General features: G+C 32.3%; 1 protein-coding gene across 6 annotated transcripts in view; it reads left to right on the plus strand.

Annotated features, from left to right (window-relative positions):
• GRIK2 (glutamate ionotropic receptor kainate type subunit 2) overlaps positions 1 to 18,320 on the plus strand; it is a 676,376-nt gene that overhangs the window by 631,190 nt on the left and 26,866 nt on the right. For all 6 annotated transcript variants that reach the window (XM_047418681.1, NM_021956.5, XM_047418682.1 and 3 more), the window contains one exon: positions 10,444 to 10,669. In XM_047418681.1, coding sequence (XP_047274637.1) covers positions 10,444 to 10,669 — 226 coding nt within the window. The remainder of the gene's footprint in view (positions 1 to 10,443; positions 10,670 to 18,320) is intronic.

Genomic DNA, 18,320 nt, shown 5'->3' on the forward strand with positions numbered 1-18,320 from the left:
ACTGTATTAAATTATCACATGTGCCATGATATATATATATATTATTTATAAATAAAAATAAAAAACAAAAATAAATAAATATTAATGGATATATAGACCATCTCCACTGAAAAATATCTTGGAATTTATATAGTCTAATCCGTTTATTCCACAATTGAACAAATTGACTTCTAGAGAGATAAACTTACTCACTACAGATCATTTAGCTTTGTAATGTTAGAGCTGAAAGTAATATGCCTGTCTTCTAAACTCCAGCATGATAGGAATAATTTCATTGTATGCATCTAGTCATTCATTTATCCATTTTTTTCTAATTTATTCAATAAGTATCTATTGATATCTATGATATACTAGACACTGTTCCAGATACAAGAGCTATAAGGATAGGGGAAAATCCTTGCATTAATGGAGGTTTTCTTCTAGTAGGAAGAGAGAGAAATTGAACAGATAAATAAGTATAAAGAGGAAATACATAATATACTACCTAGTCATTAAGAGGTATGAATACAAATAAAATAGACGGAGGATAAGGTATATATATGGTGAGTCGAGGGTTTTAATTTTAAATAGGGTAAATATTAGAAATTCTCTGGAAAAAGGAATGTATCAGCAAACATCAAGAGGAAGTGGAGAAGCGAGGCACATGGATATGCAGGGAAAATGCATTCCAGCTAGAGAAAACAGCATAGTCAAAGACCCTCTATTAAATTGTACCCCTAATTAAAATGTGCTGTAAATTAATGATTAATATAATCATCAACTACTTTATACATACTCATATTGTGATATGTTTTAATTCTCAGTGTACTTGTAATGCATTATAAGACTTTAAGCTTTGCCAGGACAGGGGTCATGTTTTGTTTTTGGTAAATCTACGCACACACAGTGCGTGGCATGGTTATTTATACCAAGCTGGTGGTCAATATATATTAGAATGATAGATCAAATGATTGAATGAATAATCTAGTGAATTATTAAATAGAATAAGTTGAGTTTTAAACTAAAACTTTTGTGCCTCTAAGTCTCCTCACCTGAAAAGGCCTGGCGTTAAGGGCCATGTTGGTTAAAGCTCCTACCTCAGCAAAAGCTCAGGGTGCTTTTTCTATTCTTGCTTACTAGGGTGATTAAATAACAATAGAGGGGAAAACAAGTTTCCTTATCCTTAAAAAATTAAGAATTATTTTAATGGTAAAGGCATATACATATACACTTACATATATATATATATATATATATATATATATATATATATATATATGAAGACAGTAGGTATATGCTACAGTCATCTCATGTACAAGTACTGTGTTTCTCTTTTGATTGATTATGTAAAACAAGCAACGAGAATAAATTCTGATTATCTTTACAGAGCTTTATGGACTGTCAAAATGGCTTTAGATGAGTTTTCTCATTTATTTATCACAATACTTCCACGATATTGTTAAAGAAGCTTTTTATTACATTAGGTAGGGAAAAGAAATTATGGCTTATCCAAGGTCCTTCATTGACCCAGTGTGGTAAAGTTTCTTAATTGTATTTCAGTTTGTCCACATGACAGTAAAATATATTCTTGATGGCTATTATTTATAAGAAAAGAAAATATTTGATCAGGAAAGTTGAAGACATCTCATTTAAAAGATAATATGCAATGAACCTTCATTATGAGATACTTGGAATGGTACACAATGAACTATCAAATGCTGTTTCAACTACCTAAAAAGGATAACTGTCTTTAACTGCACCAAATGATACTAAACTTGCTGCCTATCCTATTATGCTTAGTCACTCTGATTTCTTTTATTCCTCTATTAACTCACACTAACACTGAGAAGAGCAATTCTCTCTGTTTCATTGTCCTTCCCTTCAAATATCCTGTTTTAAGAGATTACAGATGCCTTGAGATAACACTGCCAGAATTATCCCAAGGCTGACAGGTTTACTAACAACTGAATGCTTTTCAGATCACTGCACTGGACTCAGATCCACCTTTGATATGAACCACATATGGCTTCAGTCTTGTTTCCCTGAATTAACTCTAATTTCCTAGTGACCAAGGTCAGATGAGTCCAGATAGGGCTCAGCTGTTCTTACCTAGCACATATGTTCCAGTATTGTTGGTAATTTATTTCTGTAATAAAAAATTAAAATGGAAATCTCAGCCAGAATCTCTTTTACCAAGGGAGACCTTGCTATGAGCATTAGGGCTTATTACATGTAACTTTTTCATAACAAAATAAGAATTATTATTATAGCACTATAGCCAAATATTTAAGTTAGCATTATAAACAAAATTGGTCATGTAAAATTTATTGAAAAAGAATAATTTGAGTTAGTACCAAATACCACAAAATTTACATTGTTAATTTTAAAAAGTCAGAAATTAGTTTGCTTTTAGCAATTTTACTGTATTAATCTATACACCAATGTTAAACTAATTCTGCCAGATTATTTAGGAGGTAAAACTTTTATTTATAAATGTCTGTTTATTAATTCAAGAGAAATAGAATTTGTTAACAATAAAGTCTTTTTCAGATTACTTCAAGATATTTTGGGTGTTGTACCACCTGATTAACTTTTTAAGGTGTCTGAGCTGAAGTCAACATTTCTAATATTATGTATAACAAAACATATTACAATATAGTATTCAATTTTCTTTGCATGGTGGATGTGTTGTTGTTATGACATTTAAAACAAAATTAATGTTAAAGGTTTTAAATTTCATTCATGGAGAAACCTTTCCTGTAGAACATACTTAAAAAGTTAATTCTAAATCCTTGCTTTAGGAGGTTACACAAATATTGATAATGTTATTTTCTTATCACTTTTAGACAGTCAGGTTCATAAAAGCAAGTTCAATGAGCATAAGATGGTTTCTAAATTTTAATTTATTTTTGACAGCAAACAAAATGAACAAAGGTGAGGAATCCATTTGTGTACCTAAGATATCTTTAAAAAGAAGATACCTTTATATTTGTCAAATATGTTGCTCCCAGTAAAAGAAAAGAAGATCTATGCAAGTGGTTCAAGAGTAAACCTTACCTTATTAGCTTTTCATAATATTTTCGAAGAAATTTAAAACAAAATTGCAAAGCACTATTCTTACACTGATATTTTACCAGTTCACTAAAACATTCAGAAAAGAAATTTACCCTAAAATTTGTTAGTCATTTGAGACTTGCAAAGAGCCAAATAATTTCCAGGTTGCAAACTTTATTTAGTGTTCTAGCAGAAACTAAACTAAAATGTCTATAAGTTTTAAATTGTTAGATGTGTGTTTAAAATATTTTAAATATTTACATTGTATGCTCTTTTTAATACACAAAATCATTTGGCAATTGTGAATTTTAAAAGGGGGTGTATTTCTTATTCCTTTAAAGTTTATTTTTGACAAAAATACATTATTTTGTTGATGTTTCACAATCCATGAAAACTGCTATTATAAGCAGATAGTGTCTTCTGAACTGATTTTATTGGTTTGTGCTGATGTAGAAAAAAACAAATCGGCTTACAAGCCTCGGCATTTTTATAAAATAAACATTGCTAAACATTGACATCCCAAATCCATCTAATATAACATAGAAAAATAAGTTTCTTTAAGGAAAGGAGGAATAAAATAGAAATACATTCTAGTATTTTTAGTGGCAGATAGGATAAGTTTAGTGGGAAAATAAGATGATTTACGAAAACTTAAAAATGCATTTTTCTTACAGTGCTTTTTTTAAGATATGCATTTCATGCAATATCTCTGAGACATTATTTAATTGATTCTCTTGGCTTTATCTGGCTAATTACTCTGTATAATATAACTATAAGGATAATAATTAAGAAATCGTTTTTTTTATTTTTGTCAGGTAAGTTATAATCTTTTTATGTTTTATGTAATTAAAATTCTTTTGCAAAATCATGATGCCATGAATTTTATCTATTTTCACTTTTTTTTAAGGCAAGGAGCTTTGGTTCTCTCAACTGTGTAGGAAAGAAAAATATTTTAACTATTTCTTATCTTTTACTTGGCTACCCTCAAGGTGAGCTCTTTATGATCCTCTAATTTGTTGTTACCTCAATTATTTGCTAATAGAAAATTATTTTATGATGTGCTTAGCTTACTACCTGTCTTTTATTTTATATATTTCTCTTAGGTACTACATTCTTTTGGAGAGTATTTCCTAATAAATTTGGCAGCAGCTATGGACAGGGCAAGGATGTGTCTCAATTCCTGAGTCTTTCCTGGTGTTCTGTCTCAGTCTTCACTTTCTCTCATCACAGTGGCCAGAGGACCTTCAAAGACTGTGGACATTTTGGCTGATCAGCTTAGTCCTTATGTTTGATTTTAATCAGGTCCCTTGGCAATGATCAGTATCTACTTCACTGAAAGACACTAGCCATTGTTACAGGTGATGGAGCAAAATGTATTTACAGGTGGCTCCTTCAACATGCCGGTTGTTTTCCACGTATAATCTTTAGTTTATACTGCAACTTTATATTTCCTTTCTTCTATGTCAATTTGCATACAACTTTCATATTCAACATAGAAATATTTGATTAATTTCATTTTTACCTCATCACTGATCCTAAGTGCATTTTTATTCCTTTTCTTTAACTTGTACAGCTCCCATTTATTGATTTTTACGTTTCAAGTTCCTATAATCTATTTAACTTTGAGAATGTTCAACAACTTTTTGCTTTATTAAAAATAAATCTAGCTAAGTCTTCTTATTTTCCCCTTACACAATATATTTTACAGTGGAAGTATGACCCCATGGGTGTTTAATATAAATATTTTCAAACCAGAGGTCAAGCCAATGGCAGTGTTCTAAATCCTCGTTTATTCTACTCAGGACCCACCTTATTAGGAACATTGCCTTATTTTTTTTCAGCTTCACTGAGGTACAGTTGACCTCAATAAAATAATAAAAACTGTATATATTTACAGTGTTGGAGAGTCTTTCCTAATAAATTTGACAGCAGCTATGCACAGAGCCAGGCTGAGTCTCAATTCCTGCGTCTTTCCTGGTATCTTATCTGTATCTACATACATATATATAAAGTTATCATAATCAGTTTAATTAACATATCCATTATCCTGTATTTTTGTGTATGTGGTGAGAATATTTAAGATCTATTCTCTTAGCAACTTTCAAGTATAAATTTGCAGTATAATTATGTGTAGTCACTATGTTAAATGACATAAGCTAGGCACAGAAAAACAAATGCTGCATGATCTCACTTACACATGGAATGTAAAACAAGTTGAACTCATAGAAGCAGGGAGTAGAATAGTAGTTACCAGGGGTTTGAGGGGATGAAATGGGGAGATGTTAGCCAAAGGAACTTTGCATTATTGATTGTTCTTTCTTTTTCTGACATTTTAAACCTCTCCTTTCTTTTGAAACATCCGCCATTGGCATTTAAACATGCTCAAATCTCTTCAATCTTTTAAAATCTTACTTAAACCAAAATATTCTTCTATCTGCTATTCTGGATCTGCTCATCTTCAGGGTTGTACTTTTTATTTTATTTTTTTTTTCTTTTTGGCACTTACTGCTACCAGTTTACTTTCCTCAAATCCTTTCTTAATCCACTTTGATGTGACTTCTAAGAGCTTCACTCCCCTCAATTAGCCCTTGCTAAAATAACCAAGAAACTCTCTGTTGCCATATCCAAAGGAAATTATTCAGTTTTCATTGTTTGTAGTTTTCTAGCAAAATCACTACAAGGGACCACTTCCTCACTCAACTTTCTCTTGCCTTAATTTATGCAGTACTTAGATTTTCTTCCTTCTCTGTTTACTCTTTTTACGTTTCAGCCTCCTATGCCAGCTGGTGAAATTCAAAATTCCACAAGCCTTAATCCTAGGACTCATCTTATCTTCCTCTCCTGTCTTTTTCCACATCTATCCACGACTTGGTCAATTGTATCTAATATGGCATTCAAAATCTACATTTTTAGCTTTGATATCCCCTCTGAACTCCAGACTTAATGTCTAACTTCATATTACAGATCCATTTGAATGTTCCTCATGGGTCCCCAACTCACTAGGTATAATCTTTCTCCCCTAAAATTTGATCTTCTTTCAGTTTTTTCCTCTGTCAGTAATGCTCAAGTGTAAACCAGAAACCAAGGACTTGTTCAACCTAAACCTCTTCTTTTTATATTTCAATAATTACCAAGTATTATGCATTACACACACACACACACACACACACACACACACACACACACACACACACACACCCCCTTTGAGTTTCTGGATGTCTTTCCATCTCCAACACCATTTCCAGAGTCCAAGTACTGTTTCCTTAGACTGATGCTATGTGCTTCTAAATGGTCTTTTTACATCCATTGTAGTCTTAGTGATCTCTTCAAAATGCAAATCTGATTTCATCATCCATAGACAATCTGCTTCATAATTGCCTTCACTTCTCACTGCTCCTATGATTAAGGCATATTTTGTTCTTGCATGTTAACTATTTATGAAACCTGGACCCTGGTCAGTGTCTAAAATTGTGCCTATTACATGAAAGTAATTCAATACACATATTTTACTTATTTATTTTTATTTTAAAAATTTTTAATAATTTCAACTTATTTTAGATTCAGGAGATACATGTGCAGTTTTGTTACATGGGTACATTATGTGATGCTGAGGTTTGAGGTACAGTTGATCATGTCACCTAGGTAGTGAGCATAGTCTGCAATATGTTTTCAACCGTTGCCCCCATCATCTTCCTCCCTTGGTAATCCCCCGTGTCTATTGTTGCTATCTTTATGTCCGTGAATACTCAATGTTTAGCTCTCATTTATATCTGAGAACGTGCAATATTTGGTTTTCTGTTCCTGTGTTAATTCACTTAGGATAATGGCCTCCATCCAGCTGCATCCATGTTGCTGTAAAGGACATGATTTTGTTCTTTTTTATGACTGTGTAGTATTCTATGGTGATACACGTATTTTAAATAAAAGAGTAACTTGGCTCTGTGAAAGCAGAAGTTGCACTGGGAAAAGTTAAACCAACAAGGAAGACTTTTCTATTCCAAAAAGGAAGAGAGAGATCAGAAGTCAATCTCTGAACTGGGCTGAAACTCTGGAGAGTTTTAAAGGATGGTTTGGGAGTTTTTAAGGGTGAAAGAGCTTTTAACAACAATTGGGTGGGTATGGGGGATTATGACCATATGTGTTTGCTAATTGGGATTATCCAAGGGAAATATAAACTTTCTCATATCTTCGTCACAGAAAGTAGTTTTACAACTTGGAAGAAGGGACCCTCTGTCTGAAGTTAGGTTTCTACCTTTCCACAGAGACTGGAAGATAGAGATGCCTCCTTCCTTGATGATTACCTTTCAAAGGGTTGGGTCCAGGCCCTTTAGAAAGACAGTCTGGTGTTGAAAAACTGCCAAGAGCCTTTCAAAAAGATTTACATTTAAAAGGGACAAATAAAGAATTTACAATTACAAGAATTCGGCAGTAAATTATCTACGAGAGGGGAGGGAAAATACCTTGATGCTTAGGCTATCTGAATCATATAAGGGACTGAGTGAGCTTAAGATGGGGCCTGGAGGTCAGAAGGAGCCTGCCTAAAGTTTAAAAAGCTGAGGGAAGGCTTCAGGTCACCTTCATTACTCCTTATTTATTTTGCTATCATTTTCTAGCACTCTGTTCCTTAGCTCATGGTGCCCCAGCCAAAGAATACTTTCTTCAATTATCCCTCCCATCGAGTTCATATCCAAGGTAGCATCTCTTGAGTGCTTTCTCTCATATTAGAGAGTTCTTGATGTTGTAAATGCAAGAGAATGCATTTTGAGTTTTTGTTTTGTTGCATTTGTAAAATATTTCTTACCACTTTGAGGATCATTTATGCCATTCTGTTTGCTTTAGTCTTTATATTTTCAGTTGGAGGCTCTCCTCAAGTATCTGGTTATCCTTGGCTGTTTGATCATATTTAATAGATTTTAAAAGGCTCACTGCAAACTCTAGGTGCTTACTCAAAGCTGAAAAACTGAGTTTCACTGTGGGGTATATAGTGGGTAATTTAGTTAGAAAATCCATGAAATGTATATTTAGATAGAGTTGGTGTAGTGCACTGATTAAGATTATGAAACTTGTAGGAAATCTTCCCATGTTTGAGTCCTGGTTTTGCCACTAAGTAGCCATATAATTTTAGGCAAATCATTAACATCATTGTGTTTTGGTTTTCTTGTTTATAAAAGGGGTACAAAAATACCTACATATTTTTATAAAAATTAAAAATTTTAGTATTTGTAAATAATTTGGAATAGCATCTAGCACATGCTAAAATTTATATATGTGTAAACTTTTATTATTACTATTAATATTTATTTTGCTTGAAAAAAATTCTATTATTCTTTCTGGAGGAAGTATATGAATCAAGACAGACATAAGGCTGACTGGTCTCAACAGTGGTTATGGATTTCAACTTATTTCTTCTGGTTTTAATATGGTCTTCCCTGGTTCAACTGTCCAGCATGCTCTTGCTTCCTCTCCAGAGAATAAAACCTCTAGTACCTGCTTGAGTGGGTTGGGGGAGTCATCATGCTATTCGGAGATAGGCTGTAACAATGTAACTGTTTTTAAAACATCCCTTCAATAAATTCTACTTTTTTTAAACCCATGTTTATTTTGGCTTTGAAAGGGATCTAGAACTGACTATCTCTGGACATTTGTGGAGTGAGGGTGTATTCTAAAGTTACCTATTTCCTGGTAGGTGACCAGCAGATAATCATATTTCTTAAACTGAGCTTTCATATTTATTATGAGAACTAAAACAGTTTGGGTGACTTTTCTATCTAAATATATTTTGCCATTAAAATAATAGAAATGCTTAAAGAAATGAAAAATCAGTGCTGGAAAGTATTTCAAGAATTTTAAGTGAGTTTATGTTTTGTAAAATTCTTGTTACACCAATTAACTGTTAGTATTGTAGATCAGATATTTCAAATGTGAAATAATATGATAGTTCTTAGTAATTTAACATGAAACTATATACATTTGTAAAGGATACAGTAGCAACATGTCTTAAAGTTGGTTGGTTTTCAGTTGTGATTAAAAAAAAATGTTTGATGTGTTTATCACATGGATTACAGTAAAATATTCACAATGAATGGATTTGTGTACTATTATAAAATATAATTATCTTGGCCAGGCATGGTGGCTCATGCTTGTAATCCTAGCACTTTGGGAAGATGAGGCAGGCATGTTCAGTGTTTCACTGGGGAGCAAAGGTTTGCATTTCTACCCGGTCTTAGCCCTGATTCTGTCCTTGTCTTTATAGAGCACTCATTGTACCTTTTTCTTTTTCCTAGTAAATCATAAGGTACTTATTTCCATTTTATCATTGAAACAGTGCCAGGATTTTTCTCTGTAATATTGTGGGCCTGCCTTGTAGTGGAAGTAGTAGTAATATCACATTTATTTCCTTGCACATGTAGAAATAAAAGCACACTTAAACTGTAAAAAATATTCCATATCTATTTGCTTGAAAAGAGTTTTAACTTTTTATGATAATACAAGCAGTATGATGAATATCCTTCCTGTGTTTGTAACTTCAGGATTATTTTTGGTATTTGTATAATATAATAATTAAATGATGATAAGGGTTTCACAGATGAACTTTCAAGGAGCAGATGCTAACGTTTTTCCTGTTTATGTTTTACCAGGGCCTTCTGAACAAAACCTATTTTCTTCTTTTAGTAATAAAATTCTAGTAAAGCCCTCCTGAGAATTTTCAGTTGGATATAAACACTATTCAATTGTATTGGTCCAGGAATCTTTAGTTATTTAGTAGGCCTGAATAATAGATTTCTGAAGTCCAGCTTAAAGAAGTACTGAGGTGATCAAATTGTTTCTCAGTGGAAATGTAGACATCTTTATTTGTAACATCCTTATTTGTAACACATTCTGCTCGTCTCTTCAACCCATACATTTTTTGTGTATCCCTGGGGGTTAATGTAGCATCTGTGTTACGTTAACCCAAGTTGGGGGAAAACAAACAAACTCTTGGAGTCTTACAGTGTCAATCTGAGTGCAGTATTTCTCTCTTCCACGTTTGTTGTAAAGAAATATTGACAAATATGAAATACTCAGGTAAGAGACAAGCACAAAGAACTTCCTTATAAATCATTTGTTTTCTGTTGTATGTATAGCTTTCAGTGATTTACTGGGATGTGATTTTAAACATGAAGATTTTTAAAAATATATTTGTTAAATAAATCTATACTATACCTAGAAATATGACGAGAAATTGCTATGAGACAGTCATTATACAGATTCAGACTTTTTTGGTATATATATATATATATATATTCCTTAAAAATTATATTAAGATGGTACAAGTAAAGTAAATGTAGTTCATTGTGTCTAAGCATTATAGGAGCACATGGAAACTAAAGAATAACTTTCTCGTGACCAACTTATATTTATTTTCTTCAGAAATCAAAAATCTCCACGTATGACAAAATGTGGGCCTTTATGAGTAGCAGAAGGCAGTCAGTGCTGGTCAAAAGTAATGAAGAAGGAATCCAGCGAGTCCTCACCTCTGATTATGCTTTCCTAATGGAGTCAACAACCATCGAGTTTGTTACCCAGCGGAACTGTAACCTGACACAGATTGGCGGCCTTATAGACTCTAAAGGTTATGGCGTTGGCACTCCCATGGGTAGGTTATATGTCAGCTCTTTGTTCTTTGTTCATTAATCTGAGTTGCTGTAAGACAGGGGAAAAATAGTGTGTCCACGTATGCCATTAGGAATTTTGTTTTTACCAAATGCATCCTGCTACCTCTCTGATTGTATAAAAGCAGGTTATCATTTTGGACATATTCTTCTGAATAGATAAGTCAAAAATAGGAAAAAATAATTTCTATCAAAATGGTCAGTAGATATTTTTACTGTATCAGTGTTGAAAAACACACAGTATAACCCAGCTAACCTTCTCTTTTCAATCTTAAATTCAAAAAATGTTTTATGAGTACACTAAAGTTTTTGTAACAATTTACTTTTTTAAATTTGTGGCTTACAAATATAGTATTTGACTTAGAGAGTTAACGAAAATAAGTGAGGCATAAATGGCTCTCATGAATATTATCAGAATTGTTTTACTTAAAAGAAGGTAGAAATAGAAGACTATTTACCAATGACATATCTAGAATATTTAACACTAAGGATTATTTTTAACATCCCCCTTCTTTCATATGGCAAATCATTTTTAGTCAAAATAATCAAATGAGATAATGAATTGTAATTTCCAGAAAACCATAATAAAACTCTTGATTATATATATACAAACATGTATGAATATGTATATGATGGTGCCGTAAGTAAACACACACACACACACACACACACACACACATATATATATAAAACATTACAGTACATGTGTACATGTAGTGGACAGAATAATGGCTTCCCAGAGATGTCCATGTCTTAATCCCCAGAACCTTTGAATATGTTACTTTATAGCAATATACTTTGAATATAGCATATGCTTTGAATATGTATCATAGCAAAAGATACTTTGCAGATGCGATTAAGTTAAGGATCTTGAGATGGGGAGATTTTCCTGGATTAACCAGGTGCGTCCAATGTAATCACAAGAGCTCTTGTAAAAGGGAGAGTGTAGGGTTGAGTCATAGTTACGATGTGATTATGACAGGGATGTGAAAGAAGTAGAGAGAGGGAGAGAGAAAGAGAAAGAAGAGAGAGGAGAGAGATTTGTAGATATTATTTTTTGGTATTGAAGATGTAAGAAGAAGCCATGAGCCAAGAAATGCCAGGTGACCTTTAGAAGAAATACAGTCCTTCAGAGACATCACTTTTAGGACTTCTGACATATAGAACTGTGAGATAATAAATTTTATATTGGTTTAAGTCACTAAGTTGATGGTAATATTTTAGAGTAGCAACAGGAAACTAATTGTACAGAGGGAAAAAAGTCATAGCATATTTTAATTACATCAATGTACTTTTTGAAAGAAAAGGGAAAACATATTCATGATTTATCACAGTAATATCTAATAATGCTGTACATGCTTTGGACCTTTACTTTTGCAAATTTGTCAATGACTTGGTTAAAACCGATCATTGATTTCTGGCAACTCTGAAAAGTCTAGGAAGTCCAATAATTTTCTACCAAAAAATTTAATATTAAATAAATAATATTACATTTGGAAAATCATCTGAAATGTATTATGGTTTAAAAAAAGCTCGAATTAGTTTTGACAAAATTTTGAGATACTAATTCTTGCATTTATGTAGTAGAGTCATAATAAAGAATAATTGTGCAGTCATTATTGAAATGAAAAAAAACAAACGAGTTCTTACTCCCAAAATAGGCAAGTGTAGCTGAGTCCACATAATTGAGGGGTTAATGGTGTAATTGGAATTGTCCAATTTTATTTCCAGGTAGAATACAATACTTATTAAAGAATTAAATATAAATATTTGCTAATTTGAAAAAGTCAATAAAAGCTCAGTTGTTAAAACTCAACAATAATTGTTTAGAACTTAGACCAACAAAAGATATTTTGGAGGAGGAATATTTTATATTTTACATGTTTTAGACTTCCCAGTGCATAATGATACTGGATGCCACTGTTTTTAAATTCTCCACAGAAAATATACCCCCTTTATTACCTGCACCAGGGAAAGGCTTCCTCAAGCTTTGTCCCTGTTATTCCAATATTATGTACAAATTCAAAATTGGGCAATTAATTTTAATATACTATAAATGTATTAAAATGATTGTGTTTTCACAATTATATTGCTGAGAAACATTTTTTTACTTCTCAAAATGTGTTAAATTATACCTTTATCGCCAGTAAGGCTTTGGTTTATTGCCCTAGCTCTGTGTGATGGGAGTGCTCAAATCTTGGCATTCTGCATAGTTAGGTCAGTTATGGTTCTTTCCCTCAATAAGAAATGCATACTGAACCCAGAAACTTCATGAGTTAATGCACCAGTTATTTGGAATTTGTGATGCACAACTTCTTTGATAATTTTTGAAATATGTTTTTTCCTAGGAAAAATCATATACTCTTAAAAGAAGAGGCTGATAATGTGCTATGAATATCATCATGCAGTATTCTGCACACTGATATTCTGAACTTATTCTTGTCACTACTGTGCTCTTGGACAAGTAACTTGAAATTTATGGCCTCTAATTTTTTAAACTAGTAAAAGAAGAGGATTGTATATCTCAGGTCCATTTAAATGCTAAATAATTTGGCAAATAATGTGCTTGATAGATTCTCAGAGTTTCGTCTAAGTTAGGCTAGACTACATGGAGAAATATGGTTAGCTGATGTCTTAGAATACATTCAAAAAATCAGGCACACTCTTAAAGTAGTTATGAGAGGTGGAAGCAGGGGTCTGTTAGGCTGCCATTATCCTATAGTTTCATTTGGGAAGAGCTGAAATAAATTAACCCATGTTTTAGTATCATTTCTGAAAGGAGTGAGACTCATATATTACTACCATTTTCTCCGGGTTTGCATCGTCTGGATGAGACTCATATATTGCTATCACTCTCTCCTGGTTTCCATTGTCTGGATAAGGGCAGAGATATTTATTTGTCTCTCTTTTGCTGTTCATTGTTTCAGCCACTATCATAATCTGCATTTCTCAACTGGGAAATTAGCATTTGCCTTTTATGTTACCATTGCTGAAGCATACTGAAAATGATAATAGTGTGTTAATATATTTACTTACTTACTTACTTTAAAAATTGTACTTAATTATAAACAACAACAAAAAAAAGGAATTCATTAAGGTGTGAAAAATATTCCTTGAGGTTCTTGCTCTTTCTCAGCAAGAGTTAATGAGAATAGCTATATTCAAAGCAGAGCAATATGGGCTAAGGTTCTGAAAAACTCAGATTACTTCCAGAAGTTCCCCAGGCTTTTTAATTTATATATTCAGGAGCTATAATCCATAGTGAAAATTTCACCTTTAGTAATATCCTATATGTGATCAAAGAGGGGAACTTCCTTTTCTTTGCTTTTATTATTGCTCAGATTTTGAGGTATTTTCAAGAAAGCCTATGTGGTTTGATGAGGAGATTAAAACGGGAAATATTATGAGTCTTTTTGAGTGGGAAATCAGAAAAAAAATTAAAAATTGTGCATATATCCACCCCTGCCCCATTTTCCCCCAAATTCATATATTATCTTCTTAGCCTGCCATGCCTCCTTCTAATTGATTCATTTAGGGGCCTCCCCATCACCATTCATCACTCTGAGTGTGATCATTACTGCCCAAAGTGTGCTGTGAGATCGCTGAATGACTCAGAATAAGCTATTTAATTAAGGAACCTCTGTTTACACAAAAATAGCTTAGTGGAGCAATCAACAATGATGTGAAAGTAAATGCTAAATAAGCTTAAGCAGGTTTAATTAAGTTTGGAGTGACATTAAATTCCTTCATAGTTTTCCTGACTGCAGCAACGTTATTTTAATGTGGCATTTACTGTGTGGTAGATTTTTGAAGTTGCAGGAGACCTTACTTGGTAAGTTAACTGAACTTCTTATTTCATTCAAAACAATATTTTTAAAGGCTCGGAGTGAGTTAAAAGCAAGGAGCAAAATCATAGCAGTTTCATTAAGGAATGTCTAAATTGTGTGAGCAGGTGCCGTCTTGTCTCTTATTTCACCATAGGTGATAATCTATTTATCTGAACTGGGAACATTTCTCCTCCTTAATAGCATTTTTGGCTGCATTGCTTCTCTCCTGACTGCCTGTACTTAAAAGCCTTCTTGGTTTCTCTTTTTCAAATGTTGAGTGCATATTGCACTTTGAGGACTAGGCAGACTCAGCAGTCCGTGAGCTGGTAGGAAAGCAGCAGTCTAGAAAAAATTCCATTAGGGCCAGTTGGTATTATTTTGCTTTGCTTTATGCAATTTGGTAGAAATATTATCAAATGACTGAAGGGTCTCATTAAGATGATTTCTATGTTTAGCAATGAGTTAGTGTCCTCTTTCTTTCATGTATTAGTTCCTCACAACTTTAACAACAAGCATTGTATGTGGCAGCTGAAAAAGGGATGGAGGGAATTGTGCTCATATTTGTGCATATTATTAATAATGTAATTTTCTATAATTTCAGTTGTTTCTATTTTACTTGTGGGATTAAATCAATAGTGAATTCCAGTCAGTGAGTGTATAATTATTTAACAGTGAGTAACTATTTCTGTGAACAAAACCCAAAATGAATTAGTCATATAATAGAGAATTACTGAAATACACACTATACATGAAGAATGTAAAGATAAAGTGGACATATTTACAATGCCCTTTAATATGAAGATTAAATTTAAAAATAATTTTAGCCATACACAAAGCTGTTATATACATTTTCTCTCATATTTACTGATTTAATTAGAAATATTAGGGTATATTTTATTTAGTAATTGACTTTAATGTTACCTTTACAAGCTAATGCTTTAAAACAATATTATCTATGAATATCAAAAAGCAGTAGTACCATTAATAATCCTCAAGTAACTTTTATCAAATTATAATGTACTTACCCATAATTAGCCTAAAGTAAAAAATGTAACATTGAGTTTTTATGGTAGAAGTACACTACTTTGACATATAAACAAAATGAAATTTCCTTTTTTTACTTCTGTTTTCTAATGTTAAATGCTTAAGATTCACTCTTTATTTTTAAATTTCTCATTATTTGGTGAGGTAAGAGATGTAGAATTGGTACCAGTGGAGGTACGTTGTTTGTTTGAGGCAGATGCCAATGTTTGTAAAAATAGAAATCAGTATGAGAAGAATGTCGTTCCCTGTTTTATTCACCATCCATTTCTAAAATTCTCAATTTATGATATAATAAGTACTGAAATATTCATCATTATAGATGCATAAAATTGCCAGCCTTCCGTTTTTCAGCTTTACTGAAGTGAATGAATACATTTGTCTTCATTAGTTTAACATAATGCACAAAAATTGATGCAAATTATTCATCTTTCTGCAGGTCAGCCCTTCCATTAAAATGCATTCTATTTTCCCTTTGCATAAGCAGCACAATTTTAATATTTGAAGTGATTTTGCAGGGCTAAATCTAGATCTAATAATTTTCAGAGACTGAATTAACAAATAAACTCAAATTACACCTGTTCAAGCTGTACATTCCTGGCATATTTGTTAAGTCTAGATTATATGTCACTGAAAACATAAGCATCTCAATAAGTTATGCCTGCTCCACAGACATCATTAACAGGCTGCATGCTACAATCTAGGAGGCTTCAACAGGGAATTTGATGAATTGTGAGCACCACTGTGAACAGCCGTGATTAATATTGTAAATGTTGACCAAATGGTACCCAAACAATGTAGAAATGGATAATTCTCATAAAACAGAGTTCTGACAGATTTTATACACAAAGATTGGATCATTTAATTCATTTACTTATTAGTCCAAGACCATGGCTTCAAATTTTACTTTAGATCAGTTAGCCACAGACTGTCAGACTATGTCAGATAGTTGTCCTTGGGTTAGCAGAGGTGGGTAAGATCAATGAGGAGTCACTCTTATTAGAAAAAAGCTAGTCAAATGTTTGTTCTAAATACCAAACCCAAATGCTTTGCATTTGCTGACCCTCATGTGACAGACATATTCATAGCATGTTGCATGGAGTCTTTGGCCTTTGTAGTCAGATGACCTGTGTGCAAATTTTAGTTTCACCTGGATGAAACCTGAAGAAGTTACTGAGTCCCTATTACACTTAGTGTCCTCATGTATAAGCAGATATAACCATGTTCACATAATTGGATTGTGATAAAGATTGAGCATATTATATTTTTAGTACTTGAATCAGAATAGGTAGCATAAAGAATTTTAAAGAAATGTTTTGATCACTTCTAATACGAGGTTTTAGAAAATTAAAAAAAAAAAGTGTTTTGAAGAAATGTTCTCTAATAATTGAAAGAATATGTTAGTGGTCTCTATTTATACATTTTTAGAACTGTCTTGTCTTTGTATGTTTAGGGATATTAAATATATAGCCGAGAAAGCAGAGTATTAGTATGACCCACTGTTAACCAGCTGGAAACCTGTTTCTAATGAAACCTACCTGGGATTTTACCATCAGCCAATCAGTATATTGTAATTAGATAACTATCATTTTGTGGGAAGAGAGTGATTGATATCTACTATATAAAGTTAAGAAAATTCCTATCATAAGGCATTATCTGAACAAGCAAAATGGTTTTCCATTTCCAAACATGTCTTGAACTTTTAGTAACAGAGCTCAAAATGTATTAGGAGAAGTATCATCTCTAAAGACATGTTTAGTAAACAATCTTTTTAGTAAACAGAGCTCAAGATATACTAGGAGAAAAATCATCTCCAAAGGCCTGTATATTTTCTTTACATTTGACCAATCTACAAGAATTTCATTACTCTTTCTTTCCTGCTTAGCTCTGTAAAATAATGAACATAAAATATAAACATAAATCATCTTTCTTTTTTAGAAGAAAGATAAGGAAAAACAAATTTGACATAAAATAGAGAAAAATGCAATATTGGACATAAACAAATACCTGTTATTAGTGCAGGGACTTAGATAGCTGGAGCTTAGTGAGACCAAAGCAGACAGACCAAATTGCAAAAGGGACTTCAGCAATACTTAAAGGATGGGTAGTTCACTGTCTTGAAAAAGATATATTTTTTTCTTCCAATTTTAGGGTTCTTAATGATTAATCAGGATAATGATTTAATATAAAATGGTCCAACTCTTATAATTCTTTCCTTGGAATTTTACATTAGATTTGGAAAAAAGCATAATAGTAAGGAAATCATTGCTGACATAACCATTCCTAACACTATTCTAATGATTGCTGATGGCAAAATCATAAGAAAGGTAGGGTTTATAGGATAAAATTATTTCTATTTTCATACTTAGTGTCAGAGTTTCATGGTTTAATACTCAAGAAATATGACAGCAAATCTATTTCACCAGTCACTTTTAACTAATATATATGAAATATGTCAGAACCAGTAAAAATAGTTGGCTGTTTCATTACAGGTTGATAACATTTTCTTTTTCACAAGTTAGAGGATATACAGAATATTAATAAAAGGCAACTGTCTAATACATATACTCTATAATTTGAATTCTTCATTGATACATTTTATATGCCATATATAAGCATCTCCCTTTATGATCTTAGGTACCTGAATATTTTCCTGCATATTCTATAAATATTCCTTCAATTAGAATGCGTTTATATTATTTAAAAAAATTTTTTAAACTAAACAGTTATAATGTGTATATTTATGACGTAAAAGTGACATTGTGAT

The sequence above is a fragment of the Homo sapiens genome, chromosome 6 (assembly GCF_000001405.40).
Source record: "Homo sapiens chromosome 6, GRCh38.p14 Primary Assembly".
NCBI classification, from domain to species: domain Eukaryota; kingdom Metazoa; phylum Chordata; class Mammalia; order Primates; family Hominidae; genus Homo; species Homo sapiens.